This window comes from Homo sapiens, chromosome 11 (genome assembly GCF_000001405.40).
Source record: "Homo sapiens chromosome 11, GRCh38.p14 Primary Assembly".
Classification (NCBI taxonomy): domain Eukaryota; kingdom Metazoa; phylum Chordata; class Mammalia; order Primates; family Hominidae; genus Homo; species Homo sapiens.
In genome coordinates this window covers 114599558-114615350 of record NC_000011.10, presented here as the reverse complement: position 1 = coordinate 114615350, position 15793 = coordinate 114599558, and the positions used below count along the sequence as shown (strand labels likewise).

Sequence of the window (15793 nt, the reverse complement as noted above, 5' to 3'; positions counted from 1 at the left end):
GCAAAACTTAGTATCCGGCGGGTAATGGTGGTTACCCACAAGGCAATATTTATCATCCACCAGGTAACAGTGGATACCCACAAGGAAATACTTATAATCCACTGGGTAACAGTGGTTACCCAAGAGGCGATACTTAGTATCCACCGGCTAACAGTGGTTACCAACGAAGGAATACTTACTATCCACCTGGTAAGAGTGGTTACACACAAGGTAACACTTATTATGCACCTGTTAACAGTGGTTACCCATGAAGCAACACTTATTTTCCACAGGGTAAGAATTGTTACCCACGAGGCAACACTTATTATCCAGTGGGTAACACTGGTTACCCACGAGGAAACACTTATTATAAACCGGGTAACAGTGGTTACTCACGAGGCAATACTTATCCACCAGGTAACAGTGGTAACCCAAGAGGCAATACTCATTATCCACTGGGTAACAGTGATTACCCTAGAGGCAATACCTATTATACACTGGGAAACAGTGGTAACCCATAAGGCAACACTTGTTATCCACCAGATAACAGTGGTTACCCACGAGGCAACACTTATCATCCACCAGGTAACAATGGTTACCCATGAGGAACACTTATTATCCACTGGGTAACACTGGTTACGCAGGAGGCAACACTTATTATCCACCAGGTAACAGTGGTTACCCACGAGGCAACACTTATCCAGTGGGTAACAGTGGATACCCACAAGGCAATACTTATAATCCACCAGGTAACAGTGGTTACCCACGAGGCAACGCTTACTATCCACCGGGTAACAGTAGTTACCCACAAGGTAACATTTAGTATCCACTGGGTAACACTGGTTCCCCATGAGGCAACATTTATTATCCACCGGGTAACTGTGCTTACCAAAGGCAACACTTGTCATCCAGCGGGTAACAGTGGTTACCCACGAGGCAATACTTATTATCCACTGGGTAACAGTGGTTACCCTAGAGGCTACACTTATTATCCACCAGGTAACAGTGGTTACCCTAGAGGCAACACTTATTATCCATCAGGTAACCGTGGTTACCTACGAGGCAATACTTACTATCCACCGGGTAACAGGGCTTACCCATGAAGCAATACTTACTATCCACAGGGTAACAGTGGTTACCCACGAGGCAACACTTATTATCCATTAACATTACATGGTGGATAATATCCCTCTTATTACAGGGTAAGAGTTGGTACCCATGAGGCAGCACTTATTATCCAGCAGGTAACACTGGTTACCCACGAGGCAACACTTATTATAAACCAGGTATCAGTGGTTATGCATGAGGCGACACTTATTATTCACCGGGTAACAGTGGTTACCCACGAGACAATACTTATTTTCCACTGGGTAACAGTGGTAACCCTAGAGGCAATACTTATTATCCACCGGTAAACAGTGATTACCCTAGAGGCAATACTTATTATCCACTGGGTAACAGTGGTTACCCACGAGGCAACACTTATTATCCACAGGGCAAAAGTGGTTACCTATTAGGCAATACGTATTATCCACAGGGTAACAGTGGTTACTTATGAGGCAAGACGTATTATCCACCGGCTAACTGTGGTTACCCACCAGGCAACACTTATTATCCACCGGGTAACAGTGGTTCCCCATGAGACAACACTTATTACCTGCTGGGTAACAGTGGCTCCCCACGAGGCAACACTTATCATCCACTGGGTAACTGTGGTTACCAAAGGCAACACTTGTTATCCAGTGTGTAACAGTGGTTACCCATGAGGCAATACTTATTATCCACCAGGTAACAGTGGTTACCCAATAGGCAACACTTATTGTGCAGCAGGTAACAGTGATTACCCACGAAGCAATACTTATTATCCACTGGGTAATAGTGGTTACCCACGAGGCAATACTTATTATGCAGCAGGTAACAGTGGTTACACAAGAGGCAACACTTATTATCCACCAGGTAACAGTGCTTACCCACCCACGAGGCAACACTTATTTTCCACAGGGTAACCGTGGTTATCCACGAGGCAGTACTTATTATCCATCGGGTAACAGTGGTTACCCATGAGGCAGTACTTATTATCCACCTAGTAACAGTGGTTACCTGTGAGGCAATGCTTATTATCCACCGGGTAACAGTGGTTACCCTCGAGGCAACAAGTATTATCCACCAGGTAACAGTGGTTACCCTAGAGGCAACACTAATTATCCATCGGGTAACAGTCGTTATCTATGAGGCAGTACTTATTATCCACCTGGTTACAGTGGTTACCTGGGAGGCAATGCTTATTATCCACCGGGTAACAGTGGTTACCCTCAAGGCAACAAGTATTATCCACCAGGTAACAGTGGTTACCCTAGAGGCAACACTAATTATCCATTGGGTAACAGTGGTTACTCGCAAGGCAACAATTATTATCCAGCAGGTAACAGTGGATACATGCGATGCAACAATTATTATCCACCGGGTAACAGTGCTTACCCGTGAGGCAACACTTATTATCCACGGGGTAACATTGATTACCCACAAGGCAATACTTACTATCCTCTGGGTAACAGTGCTTTCCCACGAGGCAACACTTATTATCCACCAGGTAACAGTGGTTACCCACGAGGCAACACTTATTAAATACTGGGTAACAGTGGTTACCCACGAGGCAACACATTATACACAGGGCAACAGTTGTTACCCATGAGACAACACGTATTATCCACTGGGTAACCGTGGTTACCCACGAGGCAATACTTATTATCCACAGGGTAACTCTGGTTACCCGTGAGGCAATACTTATTATCCATTGGGTAACAGTGGTTACCCATGAGGCAACACTTATTAGACACAGGGTAACAGTGGTTACCCCCGAGGAAACACTTATTATCCAGCAGGTAACAGTGGTTTCCCATGAGGCAACACTTATCCATCAGGTAGCAGTGGTGACCCACGAGGCAACACTTATTATCCACCGGGTAACAGTGGTTAGACATGAGGCAATACTTATTGTCCATCGGGTAACTGTGGTTACCCACGAGGCAGTACTTACTATCCACCAGGTAACAGTGGTTACCTGCGAGGCAATACTTATTATCCAACGGGTAATAGTGGTTACTGAAGAGGCAACACTTATTCTCCACCGTGTAACAGTGGTTACCATAGAGGCAACACTTATTCTCCACCGTGTAACAGTGGTTACCTTAGAGGCAACACTTATTATCCACTGGGCAACTGTGGTTACCCACGAGGCAACAATTATTATCCACCAGGTAACAGTGGTTACCCGTGACTCAACACTTATTATCCACCATGTAAGAGTGGTTACCCACGAGGCAACACTTCTTATCCACCAGGTAACAGTGGTTACCCATGAGGCATGACTTATTATCCACTGGGTAACTGTGGTTACCCACGAGGCAATACTTATTATCTACCAGGTAACAGTGGTTACCCACCGGGCAAAATTTAGTATCCAGCAGGTAATGGTGTTTACCCATGAGGCAATATTTCTCATACACCAGGTAACAGTGGTTTCCCATGAGGAAATATATATTATCCACCGGGTAACAGTGGTTTCCCAAGAGGCAACACTTATTATCCACCGGGTAACAGTGGTTACCCATGAGGCAATACTTAGTATCAACTGGCTAACAATGGTGACCCACAAGGCAATACTAACTATCCACCGGGTAACAGTGGTTACCCACGAGGCAACACGTATTATCCACCAGGTAACAGTGGCTACACACGAGGTAACACTTATTTTCCACAGGGTAAGAATTGTGACCCACGACACAACACTTATTATCCAGCAGGTAATACTGGTTACCCAAGAGGCAACACTTATTATAAACCGGGTAACAGTGGTTACTCATGAGGCAATACTTATTATCCACAGGGTAACAGTGGTTACCCACGAGGCAATACTTATTATCCACTGGGTAACAGTGATTACCCTAGAGGCAATACTTATTATCCACTGGGAAACAGTGGTTACCCACGAGGCAACACTTATTATCCACCGGGTAACAGTGGTTACCCATGAGGCAATACTTATTATCCACTGGGTAACAGTGATTACCCATGAGGCAACACTTATTATCGACAGGGTAACAGTGGTTACCCTAGAAGCAATACCTATTATTGACTGGATAACAGTGGTTACCCATGCAGTACTACTTATTATCCAGCGGGTAGCAGTGGTTACCCATGAGACAGTCCTTATTATCCTCCGGGTAACAGTGAGGACCCATGAGGCAATACTAACTATCCACTGGTTTCCCACGAGGCAACACTTATTATCCACCAGGTAACAGTGGTTACCCATGACGCAACACTTATAATCCACAGAGTAAGAGTTGTGACCCACGAGGCAACATTTATTATCCAGTGGGTAACAGTGGTTACCCACGAGGCAACACTTATTACAAACCAGGCAACAGTGGTTACCCACGAGGCAATACTTATTATCCACCAGGTACCATTGATTACCCATGAGACAATGCTTATTTTCCCCCGGGGAACAGTGGTTACCCTAGAGGCAATACTTATTATCCACAGGGTAACAGTGATAACCCTAGAGGCAATACTTATTATCCACTGGGTAACAGTGGTTACCGACAAGGCAACACTTATTATCCAAAGGGCAACAGTGGTTACCCAGGAGGAAACAGGTATTATCCACCGGGTAACAGTGGTTAACCACGAGGCAACATGTATTATCCACCGGTTAACAGTGGTTACCCATGAGGCAACACTTATTATCCACCGGGTAACAGTGGTTAACCACGAGGCAATACCTATTATCCACCGGGTAACAGTGGTTAACCACGAGGCAACACTTATTATCCACCGGGTAACAGTGGTTACACATGAGGCAACACTTATTATCCACTGGGTAACAGTGGTTACCCTAGAAACAACACTTATTATCCACCGGGAAACAGTGGTTACCCGAGAGGCAATAGGTATTATTCCCTGGATAACAGTGGTTACCCACGAGGCAATATTTATTATCAACTGGGTAACAGTGGTTACTCATGAGGCCATACTTATTATTCACCGGATAACAGTGGTTACACACTAGGCAACACTTATTATCCACCGGGTAGGCAACACCTATTATCCAGAGGGTAACAGTGGTTAACCACGAGGCAACACTTATTATTGACTGGGTAACAGTGGCTACCCACGTGGCAATACTTATTATCCACCAGGTAACAGTGGTTAGCTGCAAGGCAATACTTATTATCCACGGGGTAACGGGTTACCCACAAGACAACACTTATTATTCACCAGTTAACAGTGGTTACCCATGAGGCAAGACTTATTATCCACCGGGGAAAAGTGCCTACCCACGAGGCAACATGTATTATCTACCAGGTAACAGTGGTTACCTGTGAGGCAACAACTATTATCCACCGTGTAACAGTGGTTACCCACGAGGCAACACTTATTATCCACCGGTTAATGGTAGTTACCCAGGAGGCAACACTTATTATCCACTGGGTAAGAGTGGTTACCCGCGAGGCAATAGTTATTATCCATCGGGTTACCATGGTAATCCACCAGGCAATGCTTATTATCCATCAGGTAACTGTGGTTACCCGCGAGGCAATACTTATTGTCCACCGGGTAACAGTGGTTATCCATGAGGCAATACTTATTATCCACCGGGTAACAGTGGTTACCCATGAGGAAATACTTATTATCCACTGGGTAATAGTCGTTACCCACGAGGCCACACTTATTATCCATCGGGTAAGCATGCCTACCCACGAGGCAACACTTATTATCCACATGGTAACAGTGGTTACCCAGGAGGCAATACTCATTATCCATTGGGTAACAGTGGTTACCCACGAAGCAGTACTTATTATCCACCAGGTAACAATGGTTACCCTAGAGGCAACACTTATTATCCATTGGGTAACAGTGGTTACCAGAGAGGCAACACTTATTATCCACAGGGTAACAGTGGTTACCAGCGATGCAATACTTATTATCCACCGGGTAACGGTGGTTACCAATGAGACATTACTTATTATACACAGGGTAACCGTGGTTACCCACGAGGCAATACTTATTATCCACCGGGTAACAGTGGTTACCAATGAGGCAATACTTATTAACCACTGGGTAAGAGTGGTTACCCACGAAGCAAAACTCAGTATCTGGTGGGTAATGGTGGCTACCCATGAGGCAATATTTATCATCCACCAGGTAACAGTGGTTACCCACGAGGCAATACTTATTATCCACCGGGTAACAGTAGCTACCCATGAGGCAACACTTATTATCCACCGGATAACAGTGGTTACCCACGAGGCAATACTTAGTATCCACCAGGTAAGAGTGGTTACCCACAAGGCAACACTTATTATCCACCTGGCAACAGTGGTTACCCACGAGGCAACACTTATTTTCCACAGGGTAACAGTGGTTACCCACGAGGCAGTACTTATCCATTGGGTAACAGTGGTTACCCACGAGGCAATACTTGGTATCCACCGGGTAAGAGTGGTTACCCACAAGGCAACACTTATTATCCACCAGGTAACAGTGCTTACCCACGAGGCAACACTTATTTTCCACAGGGTAACCGTGGTTATCCATGAGGCAGTACTTATTATCCATTGGGTAACAGTGGTTACCCACGAGGCAGTACTTATTATCCACCTGGTTACAGTGGTTACCTGGGAGGCAATGCTTATTATCCACCGGGTAACAGTGGTTACCCTCGAGGCAACAAGTATTATCCACCAAGTAACAGTGGTTACCCTAGAGGCAACAATTATTATCCAGTGGGTATCAGTGGATACACACGATGCAACAATTATTATCCACCGGGTAACAGTGCTTACCCACGAGGCAACACTTATCATCTACCAGGTAACATTGATTACCCACAAGGCAATACTTACTATCCTCTGAGTAACAGTGCTTTCCTGCGAGGCAACACTTATTATCTACCAGGTAACAGTGGTTACCCATGAGGCAACACTTATTATCCACATGGTAAGAGTTGTTACCCACGTGGCAACACTTATTATCCAGCAAGTAACACTGGTTACCCATGATGCAACACTTATTAAATACTGGGTAACAGTGGTTACCCACAAGGCAAAACTTTTATACACAGGGCAACAGTTGTTACCCATGAGGCAACACGTATTATCCACCGGGTAACCATGGTTACCCACGAGGCAATACTTATTATCCACAGGGTAACTCTGGTTACCCATGAGGCAATACTTATTATCCATTGGGTAACAGTGGTTACCCACGAGGCAACACTTATTAGACACAGGGTAACAGTGGTTACCCCCGAGGAAACACTTATTATCCAGCAGGTAACAGTGGTTTCCCTGAGGCAACATTTATCCACCAGGTAGCAGCGGTGACTCACGAGGCAACACTTATTATCCACTGGGTAACAGTGGTTAGACATGAGGCAATACTTATTATCCATTGGGTAACTGTGGTTACCCACGAGGCAGTACTTACTATCCACCAGGTAACAGTGGTTACCTGCAAGGCAATACTTATTATCCAATGGGTAATAGTGGTTACTGAAGAGGCAACACTTATTCTCCACCGTGTAACAGTGGTTACCCTAGAGGCAACACTTATTATCCACCGGGCAACTGTGGTTACCCACGAGGCAACAATTATTATCCACCAAGTAACAGTGGTTACCCGCAACTCAACACTTATTATCCACTGTGTAAGAGTGGTTAACCGCGAGGCAACACTTATCCACCGGGTAACACTGGTTACTCACGAGGCATGACTTATTATCCACTGGGTAACTGTGGTTACCCACGAGGCAATACTTATTATCTACCGGGTAACAGTGGTTACCCACCAGGCAAAACTTAGTATCCAGCCGGTAATGGTGTTCACCCATGAGGCAATATTTATCATCCACCAGGTAACAGTGGTTTCCCACGAGGAAATACATATTATCCACCAGGTAACAGTGGTTACCCAAGAGGCAACACTTATTATCCACCGGATAACAGTGGTTACCCACGAGGCAATACTTAGTATCAACGGGCTAACAATGGTGACCCACGAGGCAATACTAACTATCCACCAGGCAACAGTGGTTACCCATGAGGCAACACGTATTATCCACCAGGTAACAGTGGTTACACACGAGGTAACATTTATTTTCCACAGGGTAAGAATTGTCACCCACGATGCAACACTGATTATCCAGTGGGTAATACTGGTTACCCAAGAGGCAACACTTATTATAAACCGGGTAACAGTGGTTACTCACGAGGCAATACTTATTATCCACAGGGTAACAGTGGTTACCCACGAGGCAATACTTATTATCCACTGGGTAACCGTGATTACTCTAGAGGCAATACTGATTATCCACTGGGAAACAGTGGTTACCCACAAGGCAACACTTATTATCCACAGGATAACAGTGGTTACCCATGAGACAATACTTATTATCCACCGGGTAACAGTGGTTACCCATGAGGCAATACTTATTATCCACTGCATAACAGTGATTACCCACGAGGCAACACTTATTATCGACTGGGTAACAGTGGTTACCCTACAAGCAATACCTATTATCGACTGGATAATAGTGGTTACCCCTGTGGTACTACTTATTATCCAGCAGGTAGCAGTGGTTACCCATGAGACAGTCCTTATTACCCTCCGGGTAACAGTGGTGACCCATGATGCAATACTTACTATCCACCGAGTAACACTGGTTTCCCACGAGGCAACACTTATTATCCACCAGGTAACAGTGGTTACCCACAAGGAAATACTTATAATAAACCAGGTAACAGTGGTTCCCCATGAGGCAACACTTATTATCCAAAGGGTAACAGTGGTTACCCTAGAGGCAACACTTATTATCCACCAAGGAACAGTGGTTACCCTAGAGGCAACACATTATCTCCCAGGTAAAACTGGTTACCCACGAGGCAATACTTATTATCCACCGGGTAACAGTGGTTACCCATGAGGCAACACTAAGTATCCACTGGGTAACAGTAGTTACCCACAAGGTAACACTTATTATCCACTGGGTAACACTGGTTCCCCATGAGGCAACATTTATTATCCACCAGGTAACTGTGCTTACCAAAGGCAACACTTGTTATCCAGCAGGTAACAGTGGTTACCCATGAGGCAATACGTATTATCCACCGGGTAACTGTGATTACCCACAAGGCAATACTTATTATCCACCAGGTAACAGTGGTTACCCTAGAGACAATACTTATTATCCACCAGATAACAGTGGCTACCCATGAGGTAATACTTATTATTCAGTGCATAACAGTGGTTACCCACGAGGCAGACCTTATTATCCTCCTGGTAACAGTGGTTACCCATGAGGCAATACTTAGTATCCACCTGGTAACAATGGTTACCCACGAGGCAACACTTATTATCCACCAGGTAACAGTGGTTTCCCATGAGGCAACACTTATTATAAACCGGGTAACATTGGTTATGCACGAGGCAACACTTATTATCCACCAGGTAACAGTGGTTACCCATGAGGCAATACTTGTTTTCCACTGCGTAACAGTGGTAACCCTAGAGGCAATACTTATTATCCACTGGTTAACAGTGATTACCCTAGGGGCAATACTTATTATCCACTGGGCAAAGTGGTTACCCATTAGGTAACATGTATTATCCACAGGGTAACAATGGTTACACATGAGGCAACATGTATTATCCACCAGCTAACTGTGGTTACCCACGAGGCAACACTTATTATCCACCGGGTAACAGTGGTTACCGACGAGGCAATACTTATTATCCACCGGGTAACAGTGGTTACCCATGAGGCAACACATTATCCACCGGGTAACTGTGGTTACCCACGGGGCAACACTTATTATCCACCGGGTAACTGTGGTTACCAAAGGCAACAGTTGTTATCCAGTGGGTAACAGTGGTTACGCACGAGGCAATACTTATTATCCACCAGGTAACAGTGGTTACCCATAGGCAATACTTATTATGCAGCAGGTAACAGTGGTCACCCACGAGGCAATACTTATTATCCACCAGGTAAGAGTGGTTACCCACAAGTCAATACTTATTATCCACCAGGTAACAGTGGTTTCCCACGAGGCTGTACTTATTATCCAGTGGGTAACAGCAGTTACCCACGAGGCAATACTTATTATCCACTGGGTAAGAGTGGTTTCTCACAAGGCAACACTTATTATCCCTGGGAAACAGTGCTTACCCACAAGGCAACACTTATCTTCCACAGGGTAACAGCTGTTACCCACGAGGCAATATTTATTATCCACTGGGTAACAGTGGTTACCCACGAGGCAGTACTTATTATCCACTGGGTTACAGTGGTTACCTGTGAGGCAATGCTTATTATCCACTGGGTAACAGTGGTTACCCTAGAGGCAACAATTATTATCCACCAGGTAACAGTGGGTACCCTAGAGGCAACACTAATTATCCACCGGGTAACAGTGGTTACCCGTGAGGCAACAATTATTATCCAGCAGGTAACAGTGGATACCCACAATGCAACAATTATTATCCACCAGGTAACAGTGGTTACCCGCGAGGCAACACTTATTATCCACTGGGTAACAGTGGTTACCAATGAGGCAATACTTATTATCCACCGAGTAACAGTGGTTACCCACAAGGCATTACTTATTCTCCACCAGGTAACTGTGGTTACCCACGAGGCAATATTTATTATCCACCGGGTAACAGCGGTTACCCACAAGGCAATACTTAGTATCCGGTGGGTAATGGTGGTTACCCATGAGGAAATATTTATCATCCACCAGGTAACAGTGGTTATCCACAAGGAAATACTTATTATTTACCAGGTAACAGTGGTTACCCAAGAGGCAACACTTATTATCCACCAGGTAACAGTGGTTACCCACAAGGCAATACTTAGTGTCCACCGGGTAACAATGGTTACCCACGAGGCAATACTTACTATCCATCATGTAACAGTGGTTACCCACGAGGCAACACTTATTGTCCACTGGGTAACAGTGGTTACCCACGAAGCAACACTTATTTTCCACAGGGTAAGAATTGTTACCCACGAGGCAACACTTATTATCTAGCAGGTAACACTGGTTACCCAAGAGTCAACACTTATTATAAACCGGGTAACAGTGGTTACCCACAAGGCAATACTTATTATCCACCAGGTAACAGTAGTTAACTGCGAGGCAATACTTATTTTCCAGCAGGTATCAGTAGTTACCTATGAGGCAATACTTATTATCCAGCAGATAACAGTAGTTACCTATGAGGCAATTCTTATTATCCACCAGGTAGCAGTAGTTACCTATGAGGCAATACTGTTATCCACCACGTAATGGTAGTTACCTAGGAGACGAGGCAATACTTATTATCCACCAGGTAATAGTAGTTACCTAGGAGAAGAGGCAATACTTATTATCCACCAGGTATTAGCAGTTACCCTTGGAGACGAGGCAATACTTATTAACCACCAGATAATATTAGTTACCTAGGAGAGGAGGCAATACTTATTATCCACCAGTTAATAGGAGTTACCTAGGAGACGAGGCAATACTTATTATCCTCCAGGTAACAGTAGTTACCTAGGAGACGAGGAAATACTTATCATCCACTGGGTAATAGGAGTTAACTAGGAGACGAGGCAATACTTATCATCCCCCAGGTAATAGGAGTTACCCAAGAGACGAGGCAATACTTGCCATCCACCAGGTAATAGGAGTTACCTAGGAGACAAGGCAATACTTATCATCCACCAGGTAATAGGAGTTACCTAGGAGACGAGGCAATACTTATCATCCACCAAGTTACAGGAGTTACCTGGGAGACGAGGCAATACTTATCATCCACCAGGTAATAGGAGTTACCTAGGAGACGAGGCAATACTTATCATCCACCAGGTAATGGAATTTACCTAGGAGACGAGGCAATACTTATCATCCACCAGGTAATAGGTGTTACCTAGGAGATGAGGAAATACTTATCATCCGTCAGGTAATAGGAGTTACCTAGGAGATGAGGCAATACTTATCACCCACCAGGTAATAGGTGTTACCTAGGAGACGAGGCAATACTTATCATCCACCAGGAAATAGGAGTTACCTAGGAGACGAGGCAATACTTATCATCCACCAGGTAATAGGAGTTACCTAGGAGACGAGGCAATACTTATCATCCACCAGGTAATAGTAGTTACCTAGGAGACAAGGCAATAATTATTATCCACTAGATAATAGTAGTTACCTATGAGACAAGACAATAATTATTATCCACTAGGTAATAATAGTTACCTATGAGACAATAATTATTATATACGGTTCCGTATTATATATGAGAGAATTATTATATATGATTCTGTAATTATATATGAGATAATTATATGATTCTGTAATTGTATATGAGATAATTATGATTCTGTAATTATATATTAGATTATTATATATGATTCTGTAATTATATATTAGATAATTATGTTTCTATAATTATATATGAGATAATTATATGTGATTCTGTAATTATATGAGATAATTATTATATATGATTCTGTAATTATATGAGATAATTATTATACATTATTCTGTAATTATATATGAGATACTTATATATGATTCTTTAATTATATATGAGATAATTATATGTGATTCTGTAATTATTATATATGAGATAATTATTACATATGATTCTGTAATTATTATATATGAGAAAATTATTATATATGAATCTATAATTTATATATGAGATAATTATTATATATGAATCTGTAATTTATATATGAGATAATTATTATAAATGATATAATCTATAATTTGTATATGAGATAATTATCATATGTGGTATAATCTATAATTTACATATGGGATAATATATGTTATATATAATCTATAATTTATATATTATTTATAATATATATTATATATTATAATTACATTTATTGATATGTTCAATAGTGTATAATATATAATATATAGCATAATATATATTGTATATAACATATTATATATAGTATATGTTATAGATAACATATATATAGTATAATATATATTATATATAGTATATGTTATAGATAACATATATATAGTATAATATATATTATATATAACATATATTGTATATAGTATAATATATAATCTATAACATATATTGTATATAGTATTATATATTATATATAATGTATATAGTATAATATATTATAAATAATGTATATTATATATAGTATATGTTATGTATAATATATATAATTATATATATTATAATATATGTTATATATAATAAAATATAGAATATATATTATAATATATATAATATAATATATATTATATAGTATAACATATATTATATATAATATAATACATTAGATACATTATATATTATATATAACAGAATATATAATATATAATATTATATATAATTATATAATATATATAAATATATTATATATAATTATATAATATATATAAATATAATATATAATTATATATAATATATATAATTGTATATTATATATTTTATATTATATATATAATTATATATTATATATAATTATATAATATATAATCATATATCACATGTTATATAATTATAATATATAATCACATATATATTATATATTATAATTATATATAATATATAATTATAATATATAATATATAAAGAATTATAAATATATATAATCTATAATTATAATATATAATTATTTATAATATATAATTATATATAATTATAAATAATATATAATATATAATTATATATAATTATAAATAATATATATAATATATAATTATAATATATAATTATATATAATTATAAATAATATATATTATATATAATTATAATATATAATATATAATTTATATACTATATAATAAATATTTAATTTATATAAATTTTATATTATATATAATATAAATATATACATAAATTTAAAAAGAACAAAATTACATCTTTTGCAGCAACACGGATGGAACTGGAGGGTATTATCCTAAGTGACATAACTCAGGAATGAAAACCAAATACCACATATTCTCACTTATAAGTGGGATTTAAGCTATGAGTACCCAAAATCATACAGAGTGGTATAATGGATTTTGAAGACTCAGAAAGAGGGAGCATGGGAAGGGAAATGGGATGAAAAATTACTTATTGGGTAAAATGTATGCTATTTGAGTGACAGGTACACTAAAACTCCAGAGTTCACCATTATACAATTCATCCACATAACCAAAAATCACTTGTGCCCCTAAAGTTATTTAAATATAAATAAGTAAATAGCAAAACAAAAAACAACAGTGTGACATTGATAGATTAAAACTTGTACAGATGGCAACTTGAAATGTTCAAGTGGCAGCATCAACCTGTTCGAAATGATGGACTATTTGGCAAATTATTTGGTATACGATATGTGGAAACTGAATCATTTCATGGAGAACTATATTATATTTTCCCATTTGAAAAGGTTTTTAATTCTTTTTACTTTTAATACATTTTTGAATTATAGAAAAGTTTCAAAATAGTATAGAGGATTCTCATATATCCTTCAGCCAGCATCAGTAAATAACATCTTGCATAATAATCAAATGTTCAGAATTAAGAAATTAACATTGGTACACTAGTAACTATCAGTGAAATTACAGACTTTTTTTGGATTTTACTAGTTTTTCCGTTAATGTCCTTCTTCTATTTCAGGACCCAATCCAGGATCTCAAATTGCATTTAGTCATCATGTCTCCTTAGCTGGGGACAGTTGCTTAGTCTTACATGGTTTTTCATGATTGTGACACTTTAGAAAAATATTATTTTGTAGAACGTCACTCAATTTTTTTCTATGCAAAATTTTCTCATAATTACATTGAAGTTATACATTGCTTTCAAGAATACCATAGACGTGATGTGCCCTTCTCAGTACAGCATTTGTGTCTTATTAGAAATGATTAACTATTTGGCAGATTATTTGGTAAATGAAGGAATGAGGAAAATGGGTCATTTCATGTATAACTATTTTTGTTTCAATTTGAGAAGACTTTTAATTGTTTTGACTTTTAAATGAGTTTTTGAATTATAGAAAAGGCTGGCAGATTATTGCCAACCAAGATATGTCTTCTTACTGGTTATGTTAACCCATCATCACTTGGGTAAGCAGATGTTCATTGATTTTCTGCACTCTAATGTTACTATTTTTAACTTTGAAATTATAAATATATTGGTGGAAATAAACTTGTTTTTCTTCAAACTTTTCCTCACTGATTTTAGTATTCATTAGCACATATTGAGTACAGCAATTATTACTGAAGAGTTCTAATGCTCACTTTGTATTTCCTTCACTTTTGCCATATTTGTTAGTTGGAATTCTTCTGTGAGGAACAGCTGTTTATTTTACCCCATTTATTTATGCTATTATTTACTTGTATAGATATGAACTCATAGATTTTTTTTAATTCCATGGGTTATATTCTGATATGGTTTGGATCTGTGTCCCTGCCCAAATCTCATGTTGAATTCTAATCCCCAGTGTTGGAGCTGGGGCCTGGTAGGACGTAATTGGATCACGGGGGCAGAGTTCTTATAAATGGTTTAGCACCATCCCCCACTGGTACTGTATAGTGAGTGAGTTCTCACAAGATCTTGTTGTTTAAAAATGTGTAGCCCCTCCCGCAAACTCATGCTCCTGCTCTGGCCATGTAAGACACCTGCTCCCACTTTGCCTTCTGCCATGAGTAAAAGCTCCCTGAGGCCTTCCCAGAAGCAGAAGCTACCATGCTCCCTGTATAGCCTGTGGAACCATAAGCCAATTAAATCTCTT

General features: G+C 39.7%; 2 protein-coding genes across 7 annotated transcripts in view, besides 2 other annotated features; one reads left to right on the top strand and one right to left on the bottom strand.

Moving 5' to 3' along the window:
• The window catches only part of NXPE2 (neurexophilin and PC-esterase domain family member 2), a 349427-nt gene that overhangs the window by 198352 nt on the left and 135282 nt on the right, over positions 1–15793 (bottom strand). The window lies entirely within an intron of this gene.
• The window catches only part of NXPE4 (neurexophilin and PC-esterase domain family member 4), a 107660-nt gene that overhangs the window by 62900 nt on the left and 28967 nt on the right, over positions 1–15793 (top strand). The window lies entirely within an intron of this gene.
• Positions 10973–11022: a silencer, noted in NCBI's record as "silent region_3916". NCBI's record gives its function as "represses an Ori minimal core promoter by ATAC-STARR-seq in GM12878 lymphoblastoid cells {active_cell/tissue: GM12878}" and the evidence as "EXISTENCE:reporter gene assay evidence [ECO:0000049][PMID:35858748]".
• Positions 11166–12365: an enhancer, noted in NCBI's record as "BRD4-independent group 4 enhancer chr11:114473708-114474907 (GRCh37/hg19 assembly coordinates)". NCBI's record gives its function as "activates an origin of replication core promoter dependent on BRD2, P300/CBP, MED14 and CDK7 cofactors, and independent of BRD4, by STARR-seq in HCT116 cells {active_cell/tissue: HCT116}" and the evidence as "EXISTENCE:reporter gene assay evidence [ECO:0000049][PMID:35650434]".